The following is a 19,916-nucleotide window of genomic DNA, read 5'->3' on the forward strand; positions in this document are numbered from 1 at the left end:
GATATGTAAGTTGTATTATGAATTTAAAACTCCAAGTTAGAGAACCTTTATTTTACTTCTCATTTTATTTTTAGAGATAGGGTCTGGGTCTGTCCTAGACAGTAGATAGGACAGAGAGATAGGATACAGTGGCACAAACACAGCTCACTGTATCCTAGAACTCCTGGGCTCAAGCGATCCACCCACCTCGGCCTCCCAAAGTGCTGGGATTACAGGCGTGATCCACCACACCCGGCCTACAACACACTTAAGAGCAGGATCTTGAGAATTCTCAGAGTAAAAGGCATGCCACACAGTCTTGGAACAATGAGAAACTGCCTTTTAAAAATAAAGTTCATCTATCATTTGGAACAGTTAGTATGCTTTAGGGAAAAACTGTTAGGAGAGGGGGCAAACTGGCAGCCTGCAGGCCAAATCCATCTGGCAGCCTGTCTTGTTGTCTAACCAACATGAAAAAAAATTTTTTAAGTGGATCAACTGTTAACATCCAAAAACTGGGAAATCTCATGGAAAACCCTGGACATCTCATACAAAAATCTGAGCACCTGAAGCCTGAGCATCCTTGGATACTCCCACAGAGCAACAACCACAAGAAGCTGAAAAGCACATCCCCTGGTTCCCAGCCCCATGCTCTCAGCCTAGGTCCACTTTGTTCCTTTAGGTTTCCTAACCGGCCCTCAAAGGGCATCTAAGCTTGTGACCCCTGCTTTAGGAACTGGTTTTGGGATTCGACTCACAGATCTGAGCAGTGCTTCCTGAATGTATTAAGAGATTAGGTGTCCACAAGAAAAGTACTGAGTCAATACGGGGGAGGCAAGGAGAGAGAAATGGTGAAAGAGCCTTTGAGGAATGGCCAGTCAGGAAGTTGTCAGGGACCCCAGGCATCCTGTTTCCTTATCTTCCCAGGGTGTGCAGTCTCCCCCAGTGCCTTGTATGAGTAACCTCGTAACACGTTAGTAGGTCGGAGTGCTGAGAGGAACTGATCCTGGCCTAAGGAGGAGACTGCTTCCAGCGACCACCCTAGTGTTTTACCCAAGATCACAAGAGAGCATCTTTTTACCTTGCGGGTTCTCTGGGTGGCTTTTCCACAGGCCCTGGTGCTGGCTGTTTATCTTCCTTCCCTGTACTTGAGGCAGCGGACTCAGATTTCAAAGCCTTTTTGGCCATCTGGGAAAGGAAGGATGTCATCAGGAAGAAGAGGCCACAGAATTGCATTAATTCTCTGCTTCTTTCACCAAGAATATACTCAATATGCAAACAAGTTCACTTACAAATCCAATCTAGGCATAAAACGAAGGACATAAAATGGGAGAGAACTTGTAAGACTTATAAATCAAGCTTTTTTTATTCAAACTTAAGATAACTAATACATTTTTTTTGAGAGGGAGTCTTGCTCTGTCGCCCAGGCTGCAGCACAGTGGTGCAATCTCGGCTCACTGCAATCTCCACCTCCTGGGTTCAAGCAATTCTCCCATCTCGGCCTCCCAAGTAGCTGGGATTACAGGCGCCCACCACCATGTCCAGTTAATTTTTGTATTTTAGTAGAGACGGGGTTTCACCATGTTGGCCAGGCTGGCCTCGAACTCCTGACCTCAAGTGATCTGCCCGCATCAGCCTCCCATAGTGCTGGGATTACAGGCATGAGCCACCATGCCCGGCAATAAATGTTCATACTAATATCTTCCAGTTTGTGTATAGAATTTTTATAACTGTTTCTACAAATGTTTTGCCTTATTAACAACTGTTTGAGAATCCTTATCTATATAACACAAAGAGCCCTGAGTAGGCTAATCAGGGCTCTTTGTGTTATATAGATAAGGATAGTTTCCAGTTACCTGGAATGGAAAGGAAAGGACCCTAGGCCAGGCTCAACTATCTTGACACCTGCTGCCTGAATATCCCAAACTACCTGCTTATAAATAATCTGAGATTTGCCAAACGACTGCTAAGATCATGGACACTATCCTAATATGGGCCTGGCAGATCTGTTACGAGACAGAATATTTTCCACATTCTCAAAGTCCTGGTTTCTTTTGCCCAGGCTGAAGTGCAGTGGCACAACCACAGCTCACTGGCAGCCTCAAGTGATCTTCCCACTTCAGCCTCCCAAGTAGCTGGGACTACAGGCACGCGCCACCACACCTGGCTAATTTTTGTATTTTCTGTAGAGAAGGGGTTTCACCATGTTGCCCAGGGTGGTCTTGAACTCCTAAGCTCAAGCAACCTGCCTGCCTTGGCCTCCCAAAGTGCTGGGATTACAGGTGTGAACCACTGTACTGGGCCAAAGTCCTGGTTTCAAAAACAAAACAAAACCACTCTCACTCAGTGTTCCTTCACCACAGTCTCCCATCTATGACAGCCTGGGTCTAGTTCTTCCCTATGCTGTCCTGAGCCTCACTGCTTCCATTCTTTTATCTCTTTGATCCAATTAAAGAATGTTTTCATTTGGCTTCTTTCAACTTTATACTTTCAGTGACACCTTTCTCCACACCATGCCTTCTTCCTGTTAGCAACTCCATCGTACCACATCTACCAAACCACCCTTCCTCCAAACTTAGTTCACAAGTCATCGCCTTTGGGAACCACCATCGATTGCAAGTGAATGTTCTACTTCAACCATGGCAGATTAACCATGTGTAAAGGAGATAAAAATGGCAGATGAGGGAGACCAGGTGTGTTCCATTTGCCTCTGCCAGTATCTCTGCTTTTGTATTATTTATTTATTTATTTTTTGAGACGGAGTCTTGCTCTGTTGTCCAGGCTGGAGTGCAATGGCGCAATCTTGGCTCACTGCAATCTCCATCTCCTGGGTTCAAGCGATTCTCCTGCCTCAGCCTCCAAAGTAGCTAGGATTACAGGTGCCTGCCACCACGCCCAGCTAATTTTTATATTTTTAGTAGAGATGGGGTTTCACCATGTTGCTCAGGCAGGTCTCGAACTCCTGACCTCAGGTGATCCACCCCCCTGGGCCTCCCAAAGTGCTGGGATTACAGGCGTGAGCCATTGCGCCTGGCCTGCTTTTGCATTTTTAAGGCATTTAATTAAGAAAGCTAGTGCATACAATTCAATGTCTTTTTCACACATCAACTCTTTTCACTTCAGATATTCTGATTCCCCGCACATCCTCAAGGGCACACCATGGTTATGGGAGAAGGGCCAAGGCGCACCGTGAGGAGGTAGGGCTCGGCGTCATCCAGGTGGCTCTCCAGGAAGCGCAGCATCTTCTGCTGGAAGGTCTCATATGAAAAGTTCTGGATAACAGGATGGGCCAAGTTCTTTTCTCGAATAATATTCAGGAGATCATTTCTCAGCTTCTACACAATGGACCGATATTTGCAACATGAGAAAGTAGAACTCCAGTAAAAATTCAATGATGATGAGGTGAGACAGACACTATGAGAACTTCTGCAATGCCGTCAATGCAAATCACTGGCACACATACAGGAAGGGAAGCCCAACACAAAGGATTGGTCAATAAATCAGGTTCAGCCACAGTGGGTTACTATGCAGCTATAAAAAACAGATAAAGAAGTTCCTTATATGCTAACATAGAATGATTCCAAGATATAATATTAAGTGAAAAAAGCAATTTAGAAAAGTGTTCACATTAGTGTGTAGGATATGCTATCACGTATGTGTATGAGAAGAATGGAGAAAATGGATCTATGTGGATGTCTGTACACACACACACACACACACACACAATTTGCTTGCACATGCATAGAGGATCTTTGAAAGGATAAAAGAAAAAAAAAAAGAAATTGGTTGCCTCTGAAGGGAAGAAGATGGCTGAGGGTCACAGATGAGAGTATTTTCACCAAACTCTTTGGTTATACCTTTTGAATTCTGTATTATGTACATGTATTACCTTTTCAAATAATAAAATTTGAATTTATATAGAGGCCAGGTGCAGTGGCTCACACCTGTAATGCCAGCACTTTGGGAGGTCGAGGCGGGCGGATCACTTGAGGTCAGGAGTTTGAGACCAGCCTGGCCAACATGTTAAAACCCCGTCTCTACTAAAAAATTTAAAAAATTAGCCCAGCATGGTGGCACATGCCTGTAACCCCAGCTACTCCAGAGGCTGAGGCAAGAGAACTGCTTGAAACTGGGAGGTGGAAGTTGCAGTGAGCCAAGATTGGGCCACTATACTCCAGCCCGGGCAACAGAGCAAGACTCCATCTCAAAAAAAAAAAAAAAAAAAAAGTATATAGAAGAAATGGTTGGGCATGATGATTCACGTAATCCCAGCACTTTGGGAGGCCGAGGTGGTAGGATCACTTGAGCCCAGGAGTTCCAGACCAGCCTGGGCAACATAAAGAGACCCTGTCTCTACAAAAAATTTAAAAATTAGCCATGTGTGGTGGCATGCAGCTGTGAACCCAGCTACTGGGGAGGATGAGGTGGAAGAACTGCTTGAGCTCAGGAAGTTGAGGCTGCAGTGAACTATGACTGCACCACTGCACCCCAGCTTGAGCAACAAAGCGAGACTCTGCCTCAAAAAAAATAAATAAACAAATGAATAAAAAGGAAGAAGAAAAAATAAAAGCAGGGGACCAACAGAACTTTTGACACCAGGAAACAGGTGCTATGTCCTCACCAAAGAAGTTTCCTCACATCTGCAGGATCACCATTTAATGTAAATAAAGTTAGAAGTGTTACATTTGTCAGCTCCATACCTGGTGCTGATCATTTAAATCAATGTTCTGTTATAAACTAGACAGAAATAAGGCAAGTGAATAATTTATGTCAATTTCTCTAATAAAAACTAAATTTTGAAAAGCCAATCTTACAGTGAGTTATCTTGGATATAAAAGATAACTTGCTGCAGGTGTTACATGTTGAAAGGAGAATATTTAAGTAATATTCCTGACCAAGAACCCTTTCCCTATTTCCCCACAAAAAGCAATGAGATGAATTTAAGTCACAGGAGCAAAAATGTATCAAATTTACCTGAGTTGTGGGGTCCTTGGACATATGTTTTTTCAAAATTTTTGAAGCCTTTTCAAATTCTTTGTTTTTGATACAAATAATGACAGCCTAAAAAGGAGGGGAAAAATCTTTTTTTACTTTTGTAATGACAGGTGTAATCAGAATATCAAACATCAAAATAACTCTCTCTCACATCATATCAAATTTCTGTACTTAAAAACTAACAATTATAAAGCCAGGCGCGGTGGCTCACGCCTGTAATCCCAGCACTTTGGGAGGCCAAGGCGGGTGGATCACCTGACGTCGGGAGTTCGAGACCAGCCTGACCAACATGGAGAAACCCCATCTCTACTAAAAATACAAAATTAGCCAGGCATGGTGGTGCATGCCTGTAATCCCAGCTACTCGGGAGGCTGAGGCAGGAGAATTGCTTGAACCTGGGACGCAGAGGTTGCAGTAAGCCGAGATCGCGCCACTGCACTCCAGCCTGGGCAACAAGAGCCAAAACTCCATCTCAAAAAAAACAAACAAACAATTATTGTTCAAGTGTTATGAACCACTGGAAGCTGTCTCTTTCTGCTTGTAAGGTAGTCACTTTTCAACAATACAATGGCTTTTGTTACATGGCTGATAGAGCAAAATCTGATCACCTGGATTACAGACCATTTAACCAATTTCAATAGGGCCTCCTGAGGAAAGACAGAATGGACAGGAGTCATTCTACGTCCTGTAATTTCAGGTCCCCAGAACAATTGATTCTGTTCTTTTTGGATGCAAAAGCTTTAAAGCAAGAGGGGGATGAGGGAGGGAGGATATACTGTAGGCGGAAAGAAAGAGATGTGCTGACCACAGAGTTCTGCTAGTTCCATTCTGGAAAGGCCTAAGGCCAGTTCTGTAGGAGAATGAAGGGACAACCCCTTACTACCATAAACCCCAGCTGGCAACTTCAATTAAAGCACCTAGGGAACTACTGAAGCCAACAAACCCAGGTCATTCACAAGCAGCAAATAAAAAGGGCAAAGTTCCAGGTAAGATAAGGTCTCACCAGCCACAGAGAGAAAGTAGAGTCCTTCCATAAAGAAACCTCAAGAGAATGAGGTTCTCTTGAGGAAAAATAACAGTGACTGAACATTTACAAGGAAGTTATAATATATATGAACATTTTTAAAAATTAGAAAAGCCAACAAAAAATTGGGAGTATTTGAAGTTATATGATAGAATAAAGTAGCTATCTCAAATCCTGTCTGAGAGACACAGATTCTTTAAAAAGACCACCATACAAAAAAAGGCAAGCCGACTGGGTGTGGCAGCTTACAACTGTACAACTGTATTCCCACACTTTGAGAGGCCAAGGTGGGAGGATCGCTTGAGCTCAGGAGTTTGAGACCAGCCTGGGGAACATAGGGAGACCCTGTCTCTCCCCCAAAAAAACCCACCTACCCAGGCATGTTGGTGTGTGCCTGTGGTCCCAGCTACTCGGGAGGTTGAGGTAGGAGGATCACTTGGGTCTGGGAGATCGGGGCTGCAGTGAGCAGTGACTGTACCACTGCACTCCAGCTTGGGCGAAAGAGCGATACCCCGTCTCAAAACAAACAATAAAAGGAAAATTGGTTCACAGATATTTTTGATCTTCACAGGGAAGAATGTACAGAGACACAGACTAAGGGGAAGAATAGCAAGGAAATTCATTAAGTACTAATCTGTTGCTTCTATCCTCAACGTGTTAAGCACAGCCATACAGGGCGGAAGGCAACTGATGTCAAACGCCCTTGAATATGCAGGCACAGTTCTTGCTGCACAGGGAAGGTACAAAGTAAGTCTTCATTTTACTCAGATGACCATATCCATTTATACATCACTTTCAGCAGAAAAACATATGCTCAAACTATACTTACTTTCTTGAATACAAAGTTTTTACTTTTTTAATCATACAGGTCTTACTGTTTTAAAATTCTATTTAACTTGCATACAACAAAATTAACTTGTTTAGGACATCTGGTTTGGAATTTTAACACACGTAGACTCCTGTATCATCCACTACAATGAGGATCCAAAACCCTGCCTTGGCTGTCCTGTGTAGTCACACCTAACCCTGGCAACCACTGATCCCGGTGGCTCATAACTGTAATCCCAGTGCTTTGGGAAACTGAGACAGGAGGATCACTTGAGGCCAGGAATTTGAAACCAGCCTGGGCAACACAGTGAAAACCCATCTCTACAAAAAAGTAGCCAGGCATGGTGGCGTGTGCCTGTGGTCCTAGCTACTCGGGAGGCAGAGGTAGGAGGATCACCCGAGCCCAGGAATTTGAGGGCAGCAGTGAGCTATGATCATGCCACTGCACTCCAGCCTGGGCAGTAAAGCGAGACCCTCTCTCTCTTTAAAAAAAAAAAAAAAAAAAAAAAAAAAAAAAAAAAAAAAAAAAAAAAAAAAAAAAAAGGGCCAGGCGCAGTGGCTCGCGCCTGTAATCCCAGCACTTTGGGAGGCTGAGGTGGGCAGATCATGAGGTCAGGAGTTCAAGACCAGCCTGGTCAGCATGTGAAACCCTGTCTCTACTTAAAATACAAAAATTAGACGGGCATGGTAGTGCGCACCTGTAGTCTCAGGTGCTTGGGAGGCTAAGGCAGGAGAATTGCTTGAACCTGACAGGCAGAGGTTGCAGTGAGCCGAGATTGCGCCACTGCACTCCAGCCTGGGCAACAGAGTGAGACTCCGTCTCAAAAAACAAGAACAAAAAAGCCGTAAGTGTGTAGGACTTTTTTTTTAAAGGATGTAGCCTTGAGCTTGGCTCCTTTCACTCTGTATAAGGCCTTTAAGGTCCATCCATGTTGGTACACTATCAATAGTTCACTTTTTCTTGTTGTTGGGCAGTATTCCATTCCATGCATGTACTATAGTTTATACATTCATCCACTGAAGGACATTTGAGATGTCTGCAATTTATGGTTATTATAAATAGAGATGCTAAAACAGTCTCATTTACTCTAAGGTAAAACTTCTCATTTCTCTAAGGTAAATACCCAAGAATAGGATTGCATGGTCTCATGGAAAATGTGTTTATAAGAAATGGCCAAACTACTTTCTGGAGTAGCTGTATCATCCCGCATTCCCATCAGCAATATATGAGAGTTCCAGTTGCTCCACATCCTCACTAGTGCTTTTTAAAAAATAGGCTAGGTGTGGTGGCTCACGCCTGTAATCTCAGCACTTCAGAAGGCCAAGGTAGGAGGATCACTTGATCCCAGGAGTTCAAGTCCAGCATGGGCAACAGTGAGATCCCATCTCTATTTAAAAAACAGATGAAAATTGCACATACTTATGTACAACATGATGTTTTGAAATATGTAACTAACACTTTTTATAGTTAGGGTTTTTTTTTAATTAATTTTTCTTGAGATAGGGTCTATATCACCCAGGCTGAACTCAAACTCTTGGCCTCAAGCAATCCTCCTACTTCAGGTGCCCAAGTAGCAGGATTATAGGCATGTGACACCATGCCCCACTATCAGTATTTTTTAAAGTTTGGTCCATTCTAATTGGTATTTGAATCTACTGTGGTTTTAATTTGTATTTCCTTAATGAGTAAATGATGTTGAACATCTTTTCATGTAATTTTTTTTTACCATCTACATTATTTTGGGTGAGCTTTTTGCCCATTTAAAACTAGGGTTGTATAGACTTGTTTCTTTTGAGAGCTCTTCATATACTCTAGATACCAGTTCTTTGTCAGGTGTGATTTGTAAATATTTTCTCCCAACCTGTCGATTGCTTTTCCATTCTCTTAACAGTGTTTTTCTCAGAGCAAAAGTTTAAAATTTTGATTAAGTCCTATTCATCAATTTTTCTTCTTATGGATGTTTTTAAATTATTATCTAAGATTTTTTTGCCTAACTCCAGGACATAAAGATTCCTTCATGTTTCCTCTAAGTTTTATGGTTTCACATTTTACATTTAGATTATAATTTTGAGTTAATTTTTGTACAAGATGTGAGCTTATGGTCAAAGTTCATTTCTGCATATGGACATTCAATTGTTTCAATACCATTTGTTGAAAAGACCATCCTTTTCCCATTGAATAGCCTTCACATCTTTGTCAAAAATCAATCAGTCATATTTGTGTGGGTCTGTTTTTAGATGCTCTCTTCTGTTCTACTAATCTCTATAGTCGTAATTACTGTAACTTTCTCATAATTCTTAAAATTGGGTAGTATGAATCCAAATTTTTCTTTCAATATAACACTTTTTGGTTATTTAAATTCCTTTGCTTTTCCATATGTTTTAGAATTAGCCAGTCTGTATCTATAGAAAATCCTGCTGAGGCCAGATAGGGTGGCTCAAATCTGCAATCTCAGCACTTTGGAAGGTTGAGGTGGGAGCGTCACTTGAGCCCAGGAGTTCAAGACCAGACTGTGCAATATGGGAACACAGGGAGACCCCATCTTTACCAAAAAAAAAAAAAAAAAAATTAGCCAGGCAAGGTGGCACATGCTTGTGGTTCCAGCTATTCAAGAGGGTAAAGTGGGAAGAGCACCTGAGCCCAGGAGGTCAAGGCTGCAGTGAGCCATGATTATGCCACTGCATTCCAGCCCGGGTGACAGAGCGAGACCTTGTCACATTGAAAAAAAAAAAAAAAAACTGAGAAAAAGACAAAGAAAAGAAAGAAAATCCCGCTAGGCTGGGTGCGATGGCTCACGTCTGTAATCCCAGCACTCTGGGAGGCCGACGCAGGCGGATTGCCTGAGGTTGGGAGTTTGAGACCAGTCTGGCCAACATGGTGAAACCCTATCTCTACTAAAAACACACAAAAATTAGCCAGGTGCGGTGGCACATGCCTGTAATTTCAGCTCCTCAGGAGGCTGAGGCATGAGAATCGCTTAAACCTAGGAGACGGAGGTTGCAGTGAGCTGAGATTGTGCCACTGCACTCCAGCCTGGGCAACAGAGCAAGACTCCATCTCAAAAAAAAAAAAAAGAAAAAATCCTGTTGAGATTGTGACTGGAATTGTATTAACTCTATAGATCAACGGGAGCTAAGTGGCAACTTAATTTATGTCTTCCAATCCATGAACATGAACATTCAGTCTTAATTTTTTTTCTTTTTTGAGATGGAGTCTTGCTCTGTCACCAGACTGGAGTGCACTGCTGCAATCTCAGCTCACTGCAACCTCCACCTCGCAGGTTCAAGAGATTCTCCTGCCTCAACCTCCCAAGTAGCTGGGACTACAGGCGCATGCCACCATGCCCAGCTAATTTTTGTATTTTTAGTAGAGATGGGGTTTCACCGTGTTGGCCAGGATGGTCTCGATCTCTTGACCTCATAATCCGCCTGCCTCAGCCTCCCAAAGTGCTGCCTGGCCTTAATCTCTTTCATCAGCATTTTACAATTTTCCATATACAGTTCCTTCACATTTTGCTAGACTTACACGTATTTCTTTCTGTTCTGAAGCCATTGTAAATGGCATTGTGTTGGTAATTTCATTTTGAATTGTTCACTGCTAGTATATGGAAATATGACTGACTTTTCTTTTTTTACTTTAAAATGCTGTTTTCATGTGATGTATGACTGATTTTTGTGTTGATCTTGCTAAACTTACAGGATTTTTTTTTTTGTATACTTCATGAGATTTCTACATAGTCCTGCCATCTGCAAAAAGAAGTAATTTTATTATTTCCTCTCCATTCTGTATGCTTTTTCCCCCTTGCCTTATTGCACTGGTTAGGTCTTCCGGTATGATGTTGAATACAAGTGGTGAGCATTCCAATTTTTACCATTAAGAATGTTAGCTGTGGGCTTTTTGTAGACACCTTTTATCAGGTTGAGGAAGTTCCCTTCATTCCTAGTTTGCTGAGTGTTTTTATCATGAACTAATGTTGAATTCTGTGAATTTCAGCATCAATTTATATGATCATATGGTTTTTCTCTTAATATGGTGGACTACACTGATTGATTTTCAAATACTGAAGCAGCCTTGCATTCCTGGACTTTGGTTTCCCCACTCTGTCACACACTAACTGCATCTGCACCCAGGGCCAAGCAGCAGGACAGACAGTGGAAGGCTATGGAATTTGTTCCATGTTCTGGGGATCACAGCTCCTTTGGTGAGAAAAAGAGTTCTCCTCCTTCAGTTTTAGATGTCTGCCCTGTTGCCACCGTCATTGCTAGGCAGCTGCTGCCACCAGGATAGTATTGCCTGGGGGCCAGGGCAAGAAAGAAGCGAAAAAAGAGAAAAAACTGGGATTTCTTTCACCATCTCTGACCCTTGAGAGATCCTTCCTTGCTCCTCAGACCAGAAAGAGAAAGCTTCTCTTGGTGCTCTTTCTGTTCACACCTGGAGTGCACTTCCAGGTTTCAGGCTGCCTTTGAGTCTGGGCTGGGTGACACCAGAGAAGGAAAAAATGGTAAACTATTCATCACTGGTTTGGTGGAACTTCAAATTCTGGTCTCCTTCCCTATATGCCTATTTCCAGATAGAATCCTCAGATAGCTACTCCATGCATTCTGTCCAAGACTTATAATTACATTAAGAGGGAGAGACAGAAGAGAGTATGTTTACTCTATGTTCTCCAGAATTGGAACACATATCCTTCTATATTTAATGTGTGAAGCAAGAAAGGAAATATGAATGCTTTCAAATTGAAATGAAGAAGTCTGCTTCAAAGGTTGTGCTATGAGCTTATCTTTTAAAACTATGTATTAATTTCCTGTGGGGGGGGGGAAATTAAAAAGATGAATCACTGCTTTTTCACTTGGCAGTTCCCAGAAGTAAGTATAGTTTCTTCTCTTACGTATTTGTTAAGGTTTCTAGGGTATAAGCAATATCAATGGTCTCTGGATAAGTTAAATAAAAGGGAAATTCCAAGCACAGATTTTCAAAATAGGTAAGGTAGGTTTATGTTGGGAAGAAATGCCAGAAAGCACATTTATTAACAAAGGAAGAGAAGAAGACCAAACTCACAGAACTGAAGAATAAAGAAGCAGATGCAAAAAGAAGCAAGGCTGTTCTGGGAAGCAGCAATGTTTAAAAAGCCTCAACAAATATTTTTGTTTCAAATGTAAAGTTCTAACAGAGTGTATCTGATATACAAGCACCCCAAATGGGGTAAGGCCCTCAAAGAACATCAAGCTGCTGTTGCCAAAGCTGCAGGGGACAATGCCGCATAGTAAAAAGCAACATATAAATGCTTCAAGGACATGCTATACGTGTTGCTACCCCTTGTTCTCTAAAGAAACCTAACAGATCAATCTCTCCTTTAGTTATGAGGAGAAAACAAATATAGTCTTGATATAATTAACAGCTTGCAGAAGCAGGTCTCAAATTTTTGGTCTCAGGATTCTTTTATATTCTTCTTAAAACGTTACTGCAGACCCTCAAAGAGCTTTCTGTTTATGTAGGTTATATTTGCTGATATTCACTGTATTAGAAACATAAATCAGAAAATTTTAAATATTTATTAATTCATTAGAAAATAACAATAAACTAATTACAAGGTAACATAAATAACATCCTTATGAAAAATTACGGCATTTACTAAGATAAAAGTTTAATGAGAAGGGTGACATTTGTTTTTCATTTTGAAAATCTCTTTAATATCTGGTTTAATATAGACGATAGCTGGATGCTCATAACTGCTTCTGTATTTAATCTGTTGTGATGTGTTATTTTGGTAGAGTGGGGTTTTTTTTTGAGACAGAGTTTTGCTCTGTCACCCAGGCTGGAGTGCAGTGATGTGATCTCAGCTCACTGCAGCCTCCTCGCCTCCTGGGTTCAAGCGATTCTCATGCCTCAGCCTCCCGAGTAGCTGGGATTACAGGCTCGGGCCACACACCCGGCTAATTTTTGTATTTTTGGTAGAGACAGGGTTTCACCATACTGGCCAGCCTAGTCTCAAACTTCTGACCTCAAGTGATCCACCCGTCTTAGCCTCCCAAAGTGCTGAGATTACAGGTGTGAGCCACCATGCCCTACCCTTGGTTAAGGCATTTTTAAAAATCTGGCTTTATACACATACGAAGCTGAAAATGGAGGAGTATTTTAATAGCTTTTTCAGAAAACTGTGGCTATTCTTGTTTGATTCTACACGAAACTGCAGTAAGTAAACTTTTCTTAATCTGTCACATTAAAATCCATCAGTCAGCTGGGCGCAGTGGCTCACTCCTGTAATCCCAGCACTTTGGGAGGCCAAGGCGGGTGGATCATGAGGTCAGGAGTGCAAGACCAGCCTGGCCAAGATGGTGAAACCCATTTCTAATAATAATACAAAAATTAGCCAGGGGTGGTGGTGGGCGCCTGTAATAACAGCTACTTGGGAGGCTGAGGTGTAGAACTGCTTGAACCCAGGAGGCGGAGCTTGCAGTAAGCCGAGATCACGCCACTATACTCCAGCCTGGGCGACAGAGAGAGACTACGTCTAAAAAAAAAAAAAAAATCCATCAGTCTATCTTGTAGTTTAAATAGATCTTTCATCCATGGATGACTTCATAACATCATGCATTGGTCATCTGGAAAATACTGGTTCACTGAGTTATGAAGATCTTCAAATATTGACACATTCATTAATTTTTTTTTTTTTTTTTCTGAGATGGAGTCTCACTGTTTCCCAGGCTGGAGTGCAGTGGTGTGATCTCGGCTCACGGCAACCTCCTCCTCCCGGGTTCAAGCAATTCTCCTGCCTCAGTCTCCCGAGTAGCTGGGATTACAGGTGCCCACCACCACGCCTGGCTAATTTTTTTTGTATTTTTAGTAGAGACGAGGTTTCACTATGTTGGCCAGGCTGGTCTCAAACTCCTGACCTCAGGTGATCTACCTGCCTTGGCCTCCCAAAGTGCTGGGATTACAGGCGTGAGCCACCGCGCCCAGCCTAAAAAATATTTTTTAAATGTCAGTTGTTAATATTACCAATCTTCAGAAAAGACTAAGTATTGGGAAGCTATCAAGCACATGAATACAAGTTTTCCAAAATTCTGTTTTTCACTAGAAAGCTTAAACTTTATCACTGGCAACAAATACTGTCACTTGTTTTATGTGACAGGTTTGCTTTACTCATTCTCAAGAAAATGACTGCCAAATACCCAAGTGTGAACAACTGTAATTTGTCAGTTGTTCTTCAGGTAAAATAGTATTCCATAAAAAAGCAGCTAGTTCAGCATGCAACTCTAATAATAACACAAGTGCTTTTCCTGGTAACCATCATGTTTTGGTATGCAGCAGAAACATTTTAGTCATACTTCCTCTTATTTTTTTTTTTTTCTTTTTTGACAGGGTCTTCACTCTGTCGTCCAGGCTCGAGTACAGAGGTATGATATCAGCTTACTGCAACCTCCACCTCCCAGGCTCAGGTGATCCTTCTGCCTCAGCCTCCCAAGTAGCTGACACCACAGGTGCACACCACCACACCCAGCTAATTTTTTGTATTTTTGTAGAGACAGGGTTTCACTATGTTACCCAGGCTGGTCTGGAACTCCTAGGCTCAAGCGATCCACTCACGTCAGCCTCCCAAAGTGCTAGGATTACAGGTATGAGCTACTGCACCTGGCCCATACTTTCTATTTCAACACACAAAATCCTGAAAAGATGTTTACTCAAGGCTCTAGAGTTAATAAAATTCATCCAGTTTTTGCTGCTTTACCAAAGACATTCTTTTTTAAATTTTTTTTTAATGGGAGTTCTGAGCTTTTAAACAACTGTGACTAACATTCTTAATTAAAATTGGTAGTTTTAAAAAAAATTGTGGCAGTGAAGAATACAATGACTACTAGTACAATTACTACCATCTTGATCACGCTAAGGAATCACCCATTTTACTCATCCTTGCTTTTGTACCATCAATGCAAATGCCAATGCATTGAAAAAGTCAAATAATGTTTTGGTTCTGCTTATGAAAACAGTTTTGACCTCATGGCTTCTCTGAAAGGGTCCTGGGGACCTCCAGAGATCCCTAGACCATGCACTGAGGGTTCTAACTTAACAAATAACTTACTTGATAAACTTTGCGAAAGATTCAATATACTTTTAAATAAATTGTTTTGGCACTTTACAAAGCTTAAATGCATGAGCAAGGCTCACTGAACCTAGGCGTCTGTAGAATTTTCCCGATCATTAACAGATTCCGTGACTGTAAATGAGAAACTTTTACAAAGTAAATTGAAGAGATGGATGAAATAATATCATTTAACAACTAGGAGATCAAGGTAATTGTGGTTGCCAACCTCAAAGGCAGCCCCCAATGCGCCTCACCTCTTGCGGAGTCCCATTCACACTCTACCAGAGTGAGTCTAGTCTGTATGACCAAGAGCATATGGTGGAAGTGATAATGTGTCACTTCCAAGATTAGACTCTACAAGAATGAGACTTCTGCCTTGGGTTCTTGCTCTCTTGCATGATTTGCTGTAGGAAAACAAAGCTGCCATGTTGCAAGCAGCCTTATCTGTGAAGAGGCCAGGAGCTGAAGTGTCCAGCCAACAGCCAGTAGGAAAGTGAGTCTTGTTAACAACTATGTGAGTAGGGAAGCAGTTGAGTCTTGAAATGACTGCAAACCTAGCTGACAGCTTGACTGTAACCTCATGAGAAACCCTGAGCCAGAATCACTAATAGACTCCTGATCCTCGGAAACTGAAAGATAATATTAACTGTTTTGAGCTGCTTATTCTTGGAGTAACTTGTTACACTGCAGTAACAATAAGCATAAGATCTAGTACGTGGTGGAGACTGGAAAAGGAGAACAGAGTCAACGTAAGAAAATGGCTACTCTGAGAGCTTAGATTTTTCTAATAGATTTTTCCTAATGAACCACCCAAATAAGGAGCTCTATGAGCCTAAATAATAATAATAAATACGCAGCTGAAAGATGAAAGCCCACAAAGACTCTTCCAGAAGAGGGGCCAGATGGCAAATCTATAGCCCTTGTGTTCTAAAGGAGTTGCTACAGGTTGAGCATCCTAAATCTGAAAATCCGAAATCTGAAATGCTCCAATGAGCATTTCCTTTGAGTGCCATGTTGGCACTCAAAAAGTTTCAGATTTGAGGGCATTTGGGATTTCAGATTTTTGGATTTGGGATGCTCAAACTAAATTTAATGCAAATATTCCAAAATCTGAAATCCAAAATGCTTCTGTTCCCAAGTATTTTGGATAAGGGATACTCAATGTGTACTTAATAGAAGTTAAATGAATTATTCTAAACTGGTACCCATTCAAAAGATCCTTAACAGTTCTGAAAGTAGGCATGAATTTCTCCTCCCTTGATAATGTCTATTCTGGCATATGCCTCCCCTCAACCTAAACCTGATTTTCCTATACTAAAAATGTACTCTTGAAATTATTCTTCCTTGGAAATGACTAATATTTAAGCATTTCTTTACCAGACCAAAAGTAGTATCTGCCCAAGGTCCTTAATTAAATAAATAAAATATGTGCACCTCATGCACACTAGTTGTTTTTTAATAGGGTACCCAAGTACAATGTACACAGCCAAGAGACAGGTTTTCCTTGTGAAGCAAGGTTTTTCTTTCTACCCCACCCCCATCTTTGGGATCCCATCCTTTTAGGGGTGCTCTTTTCTTAACCATTTCCCTATTTTCTACCACCAGGGCAATGCTTAGCTGATGTTTTCCATCTTCACCTCTGCATCTGCTTCCACACCCCCCAGCCTTGGTTTTGGGGGAAGAAAAATCTTTTTCTAACTGGTTCCCACAGCCACTTCTATGTTTTAAATTAAAATAATTTCTACTGTTTGAAGCTACCTGAGCCACAACACAGTGACAATCCCAAATTCCTAGACACTCCATTAGCTTTTTTCTTGAATTCAAGAACACTGCCTGTGCCGGATTTCTATCATTCTTCTACCATTACTATTTTGCTAGCTGGCTCATTATCCCAGCACCTCTGATTCTAATCTATCTGTTCAAAAGGGATATTCTCTAAGCCCCTCTTTCTGCAGACAGAAAGAACTCAAAGTCAGTACCACATTTTCCAAGGCCCCAGTTTATCTCCTTGGTTTATTATAAACAAGGGTGACCAAACCCTAGGCCAGAGTTACTTAAGGCCCTTGTAGAGTGCTCCCGAATGGTGCAGTAACCTCCAAAATGTCAGAGCTTCAATGCCAAAGCCACAAGGAAGACCACCCAAATCACAAAAACTGAGCAACTGCCATTACTTCCCAAGCCTGGGTGGGAAAGGAGACACCTGAAGAAATAACGTCTGTGTGTGTGCTTTCTTGCTTGCTCAATCTCTCCCCATTGCTGTTTTCCTCTGCCCCACACAGTAAAGAGTAAGTGCTGTATCCTCAAAGACCCTTGATTTTTGGTCAAAGAAAAAAGATATAAAAATAGAGCCTTACAGCTTCCTTGACCAGTTTTCTACTGGATTCGACCACTGCTTCTGTCAGTGTAAATTCCGTTTTAATCATCTCCAGCACATTGATAGCTGATTCCAGTGGTGTGAGCTCAGCCTCCATATCAAAGGAACAGTCTAGGACAAAGCACAGTTTTCATTTTTAAGCTCTTTTCTAAGGGTAAAAAAGTTATGTCCAAAAATTATATATATATATTTATGGAAATGGAGCATGCAAATATGGTAAGATTTGCATTTAATTTTTTGACATATTTGCTACAGGTTGACATACACGATAAGGGTCCAAATTCAAATCAATGAATTTAACGTGACCATTTTTTAACACCTGTCAAGACAGGCAAAAAAATTATTTTTAAATACCTGCATTTGCCTCTCAAATTCAGAATATACCCATCCTCCTCAGATACGAGTGGCAAGAAACTGACAACAGCTAAATAGCTTTCAAGTTAAATTCAGAGGGGAAAAATGTCAGAGTACTTCCACTCTGAAAAACTCTCTACCATGGGGGAAAAAAGATGTCCATATGAACATAACTCACTTTAGACAGGAGCAAAGTTGGGGTGAGCAATTAACAGGTGGGAGAAGATTTAAAAAAAACACAGAAAAGCAGCCAAGACAACCTTAACCGGAGAAAACTAGAGCCAGTCGAGCCAGAAAACAGACCCATCGTAGAATGAAAAAGACCACTCTGATGGAAACTATCGCACTTTAACCTGGAATCCTTCAGTTCTAGATATAAGTTTTAAAACAAAACCCTACGCAAGTAAGCCCAGAGAAGAACACAAAAATAGCCATACCTAAATTTTCCCCTTCTTCAATCCGCGACAGACACTGCATAACCCGCAGCAATCGGGACACGGTGTGCTCCTTCCCCAAGGGCCTGACAAGCAAAGCTGGGAGAGAAGACATCGTTGGCTGGGCGACCCCCAGTCCCGACTCCCGGTCCCCCGGACCCCCTTCCCCGGCGCTCCAACCCCCCTCCCCCGGCCCGGCCCTCACCCTGCATGATGTCCCGGATCTGTCTGAAGTCCCCGTACCGGCTACCCCGAAAGGCCCGCAGCGCCTCGTGGAAGTAGAACTTGAGCACCCAGCGATTGACTGCCTCTTCCAGCCGTGCCTCCCCCGCGCCGCGCTCCGCCGGGCCCCCCAGCCCCGGCTCGTGGCGCCCCCGCCGGGCCCGCCCGCTACTGCGGGACGCCCGCCTGCCAGCTGCCCGCCCGCTGCCGTCGCTACTCCCGCCTCCTCCCGCCATCGTGTCCGATCGCCGCGCGCCCTCCCCGCCCTCCCGGCCGGGCCGCTTCCTCGGCTGTGACGCCGCTGGGTCACGCACGACGCCCGGGCCGGAAGCGGGGCCCGCCGTCCCGGCTCCCGCGGCCATGATAGAAACAGCGTTCCGAGCCGCCCGCGGGCTTCTGGGAGGGAAAGGACCGGAGGGCCCGGCCCCCTTCTCAGACGCCGTAGTTCCCGATGTGCCGGCCGCAATGCCTCCTGGGGCTTGAAGTCCACACCGCCCAGGCCGGTGAACCCGGCGGGTTTTGCAGTCAACTTCGCTCCGAATTTACAGAAAACAGCTACTATGCTAGGGACGCGGAACAGTGTATTAGAGACTGAAAAACAGGCCGGGATCGGTGGCTCTACGCCTGTAATCCCAGCACTTTGGGAGGCTGAGGCGGGTGGATCACCTGAGGTCGGGAGTTCGAGACCAGCCTGACCAACATGGAGAAACCCCATCTCTACTAAAAATACAAAATTAGCCAGACGTGGTGGCGCATGCCTGTAATCCTAGCTACTCAGGAGGCTGAGGCAGGAGACTCGCTTGAACCCGCGAGGCGGAGGTTGCGGTGAGCCGAGATCGCGCCATTGCACTCCAGTCTGGGCAACAAGAGCGAAACTCCGTCTCAAAAAAAAGAAAAGAAAAAAAAGAAAACCAAATATGTGCACCTTATTAAACACTTTGAAAATTGTGGAAGAGAGCATACACAGAGGAAAGTCTTTAAACAAATTTGTATTTTAACAAATACTGTAATTATAAAGCAAAGACCAGTGTGATACCAATAAATAGAATGCACCTGGCAACCCAGCCGCTAGACATATACTCTTTGTAATCACAAAAATAACACATTTTGTTGTAGAACAATTAGAAAAATAAGCAAAAGGACCACCCATAGTCCCATAGAGGGTCTGAGTCACTTTCAGATATCTCTGATACTCTTGGAATTCACCAACTGGCACTTGACCAAATGGAGAACCTCCAGCTCAGACCTTAGTTCAGGATGGTGGTTGTGGGTGCCTCTTCCTGAGAGGCCCAGTAACTGGTCTAGCTTCAAAGATTGTCCTACCAGCCCCACTAGTCTGGAACCTGCAAAGATCCAGTTTGGGGCCACTCAAAGACAACTCAGAAGTGCAGGTGGCCATGTCCTTGAGGATGTGAATCCCATGCTGGACCTGTGAATTAATATCAGGACCTTAATATGTATAGTATCCTGGAAAGCCAAAAGTTCTATGAGGTACACGTTCCGGGATGAGAGAAGAGGCCTCTAGGTCTGACTGATCTTTGGTGATCATAGCTGCTTTTCTTTTTTTTCTTTGTTTTTCTTGAGATGGAATCTCGTTCTGTCGCCCAAGCTGGAGTGCAGTG

At 42.9% G+C, this 19,916-nt stretch overlaps 1 protein-coding gene across 6 annotated transcripts in view, besides 2 other annotated features; it reads right to left on the reverse strand.

The window, feature by feature from the left end:
• TERF2 (telomeric repeat binding factor 2) overlaps nucleotides 1-18,692 on the reverse strand; it is a 30,441-nt gene extending 11,749 nt beyond the window's left edge. For 3 of the 6 annotated variants that reach the window (XM_005256122.4, XM_005256121.4, XM_047434552.1), the window contains exons 1-7: nucleotides 18,278-18,692; nucleotides 18,076-18,171; nucleotides 17,265-17,395; nucleotides 4,954-5,040; nucleotides 3,168-3,314; nucleotides 1,272-1,280; nucleotides 1,061-1,167 (exon numbers count right to left, since the gene is read on the reverse strand). In XM_005256122.4, the coding sequence (XP_005256179.1) occupies nucleotides 1,061-1,167; nucleotides 1,272-1,280; nucleotides 3,168-3,314; nucleotides 4,954-5,040; nucleotides 17,265-17,395; nucleotides 18,076-18,171; nucleotides 18,278-18,656 (956 nt within the window). In that variant the 5' untranslated portion in view covers nucleotides 18,657-18,692. The remainder of the gene's footprint in view (nucleotides 1-1,060; nucleotides 1,168-1,271; nucleotides 1,281-3,167; nucleotides 3,315-4,953; nucleotides 5,041-17,264; nucleotides 17,396-18,075; nucleotides 18,172-18,277) is intronic. The other 3 variants (XM_005256123.4, NM_005652.5, XM_005256124.5) reach the window with 2 other exon arrangements.
• Nucleotides 4,211-4,710: an enhancer, noted in NCBI's record as "H3K27ac hESC enhancer chr16:69405429-69405928 (GRCh37/hg19 assembly coordinates)". NCBI's record gives its function as "activates a minimal SCP1, AML or CMV promoter by ChIP-STARR-seq in primed H9 embryonic stem cells {active_cell/tissue: H9 hESC(primed)}" and the evidence as "EXISTENCE:reporter gene assay evidence [ECO:0000049][PMID:30033119]".
• Nucleotides 18,308-18,687: a silencer, noted in NCBI's record as "silent region_7660". NCBI's record gives its function as "represses an Ori minimal core promoter by ATAC-STARR-seq in GM12878 lymphoblastoid cells {active_cell/tissue: GM12878}" and the evidence as "EXISTENCE:reporter gene assay evidence [ECO:0000049][PMID:35858748]".

This window comes from Homo sapiens, chromosome 16 (genome assembly GCF_000001405.40).
Source record: "Homo sapiens chromosome 16, GRCh38.p14 Primary Assembly".
Classification (NCBI taxonomy): Eukaryota; Metazoa; Chordata; class Mammalia; order Primates; family Hominidae; genus Homo; species Homo sapiens.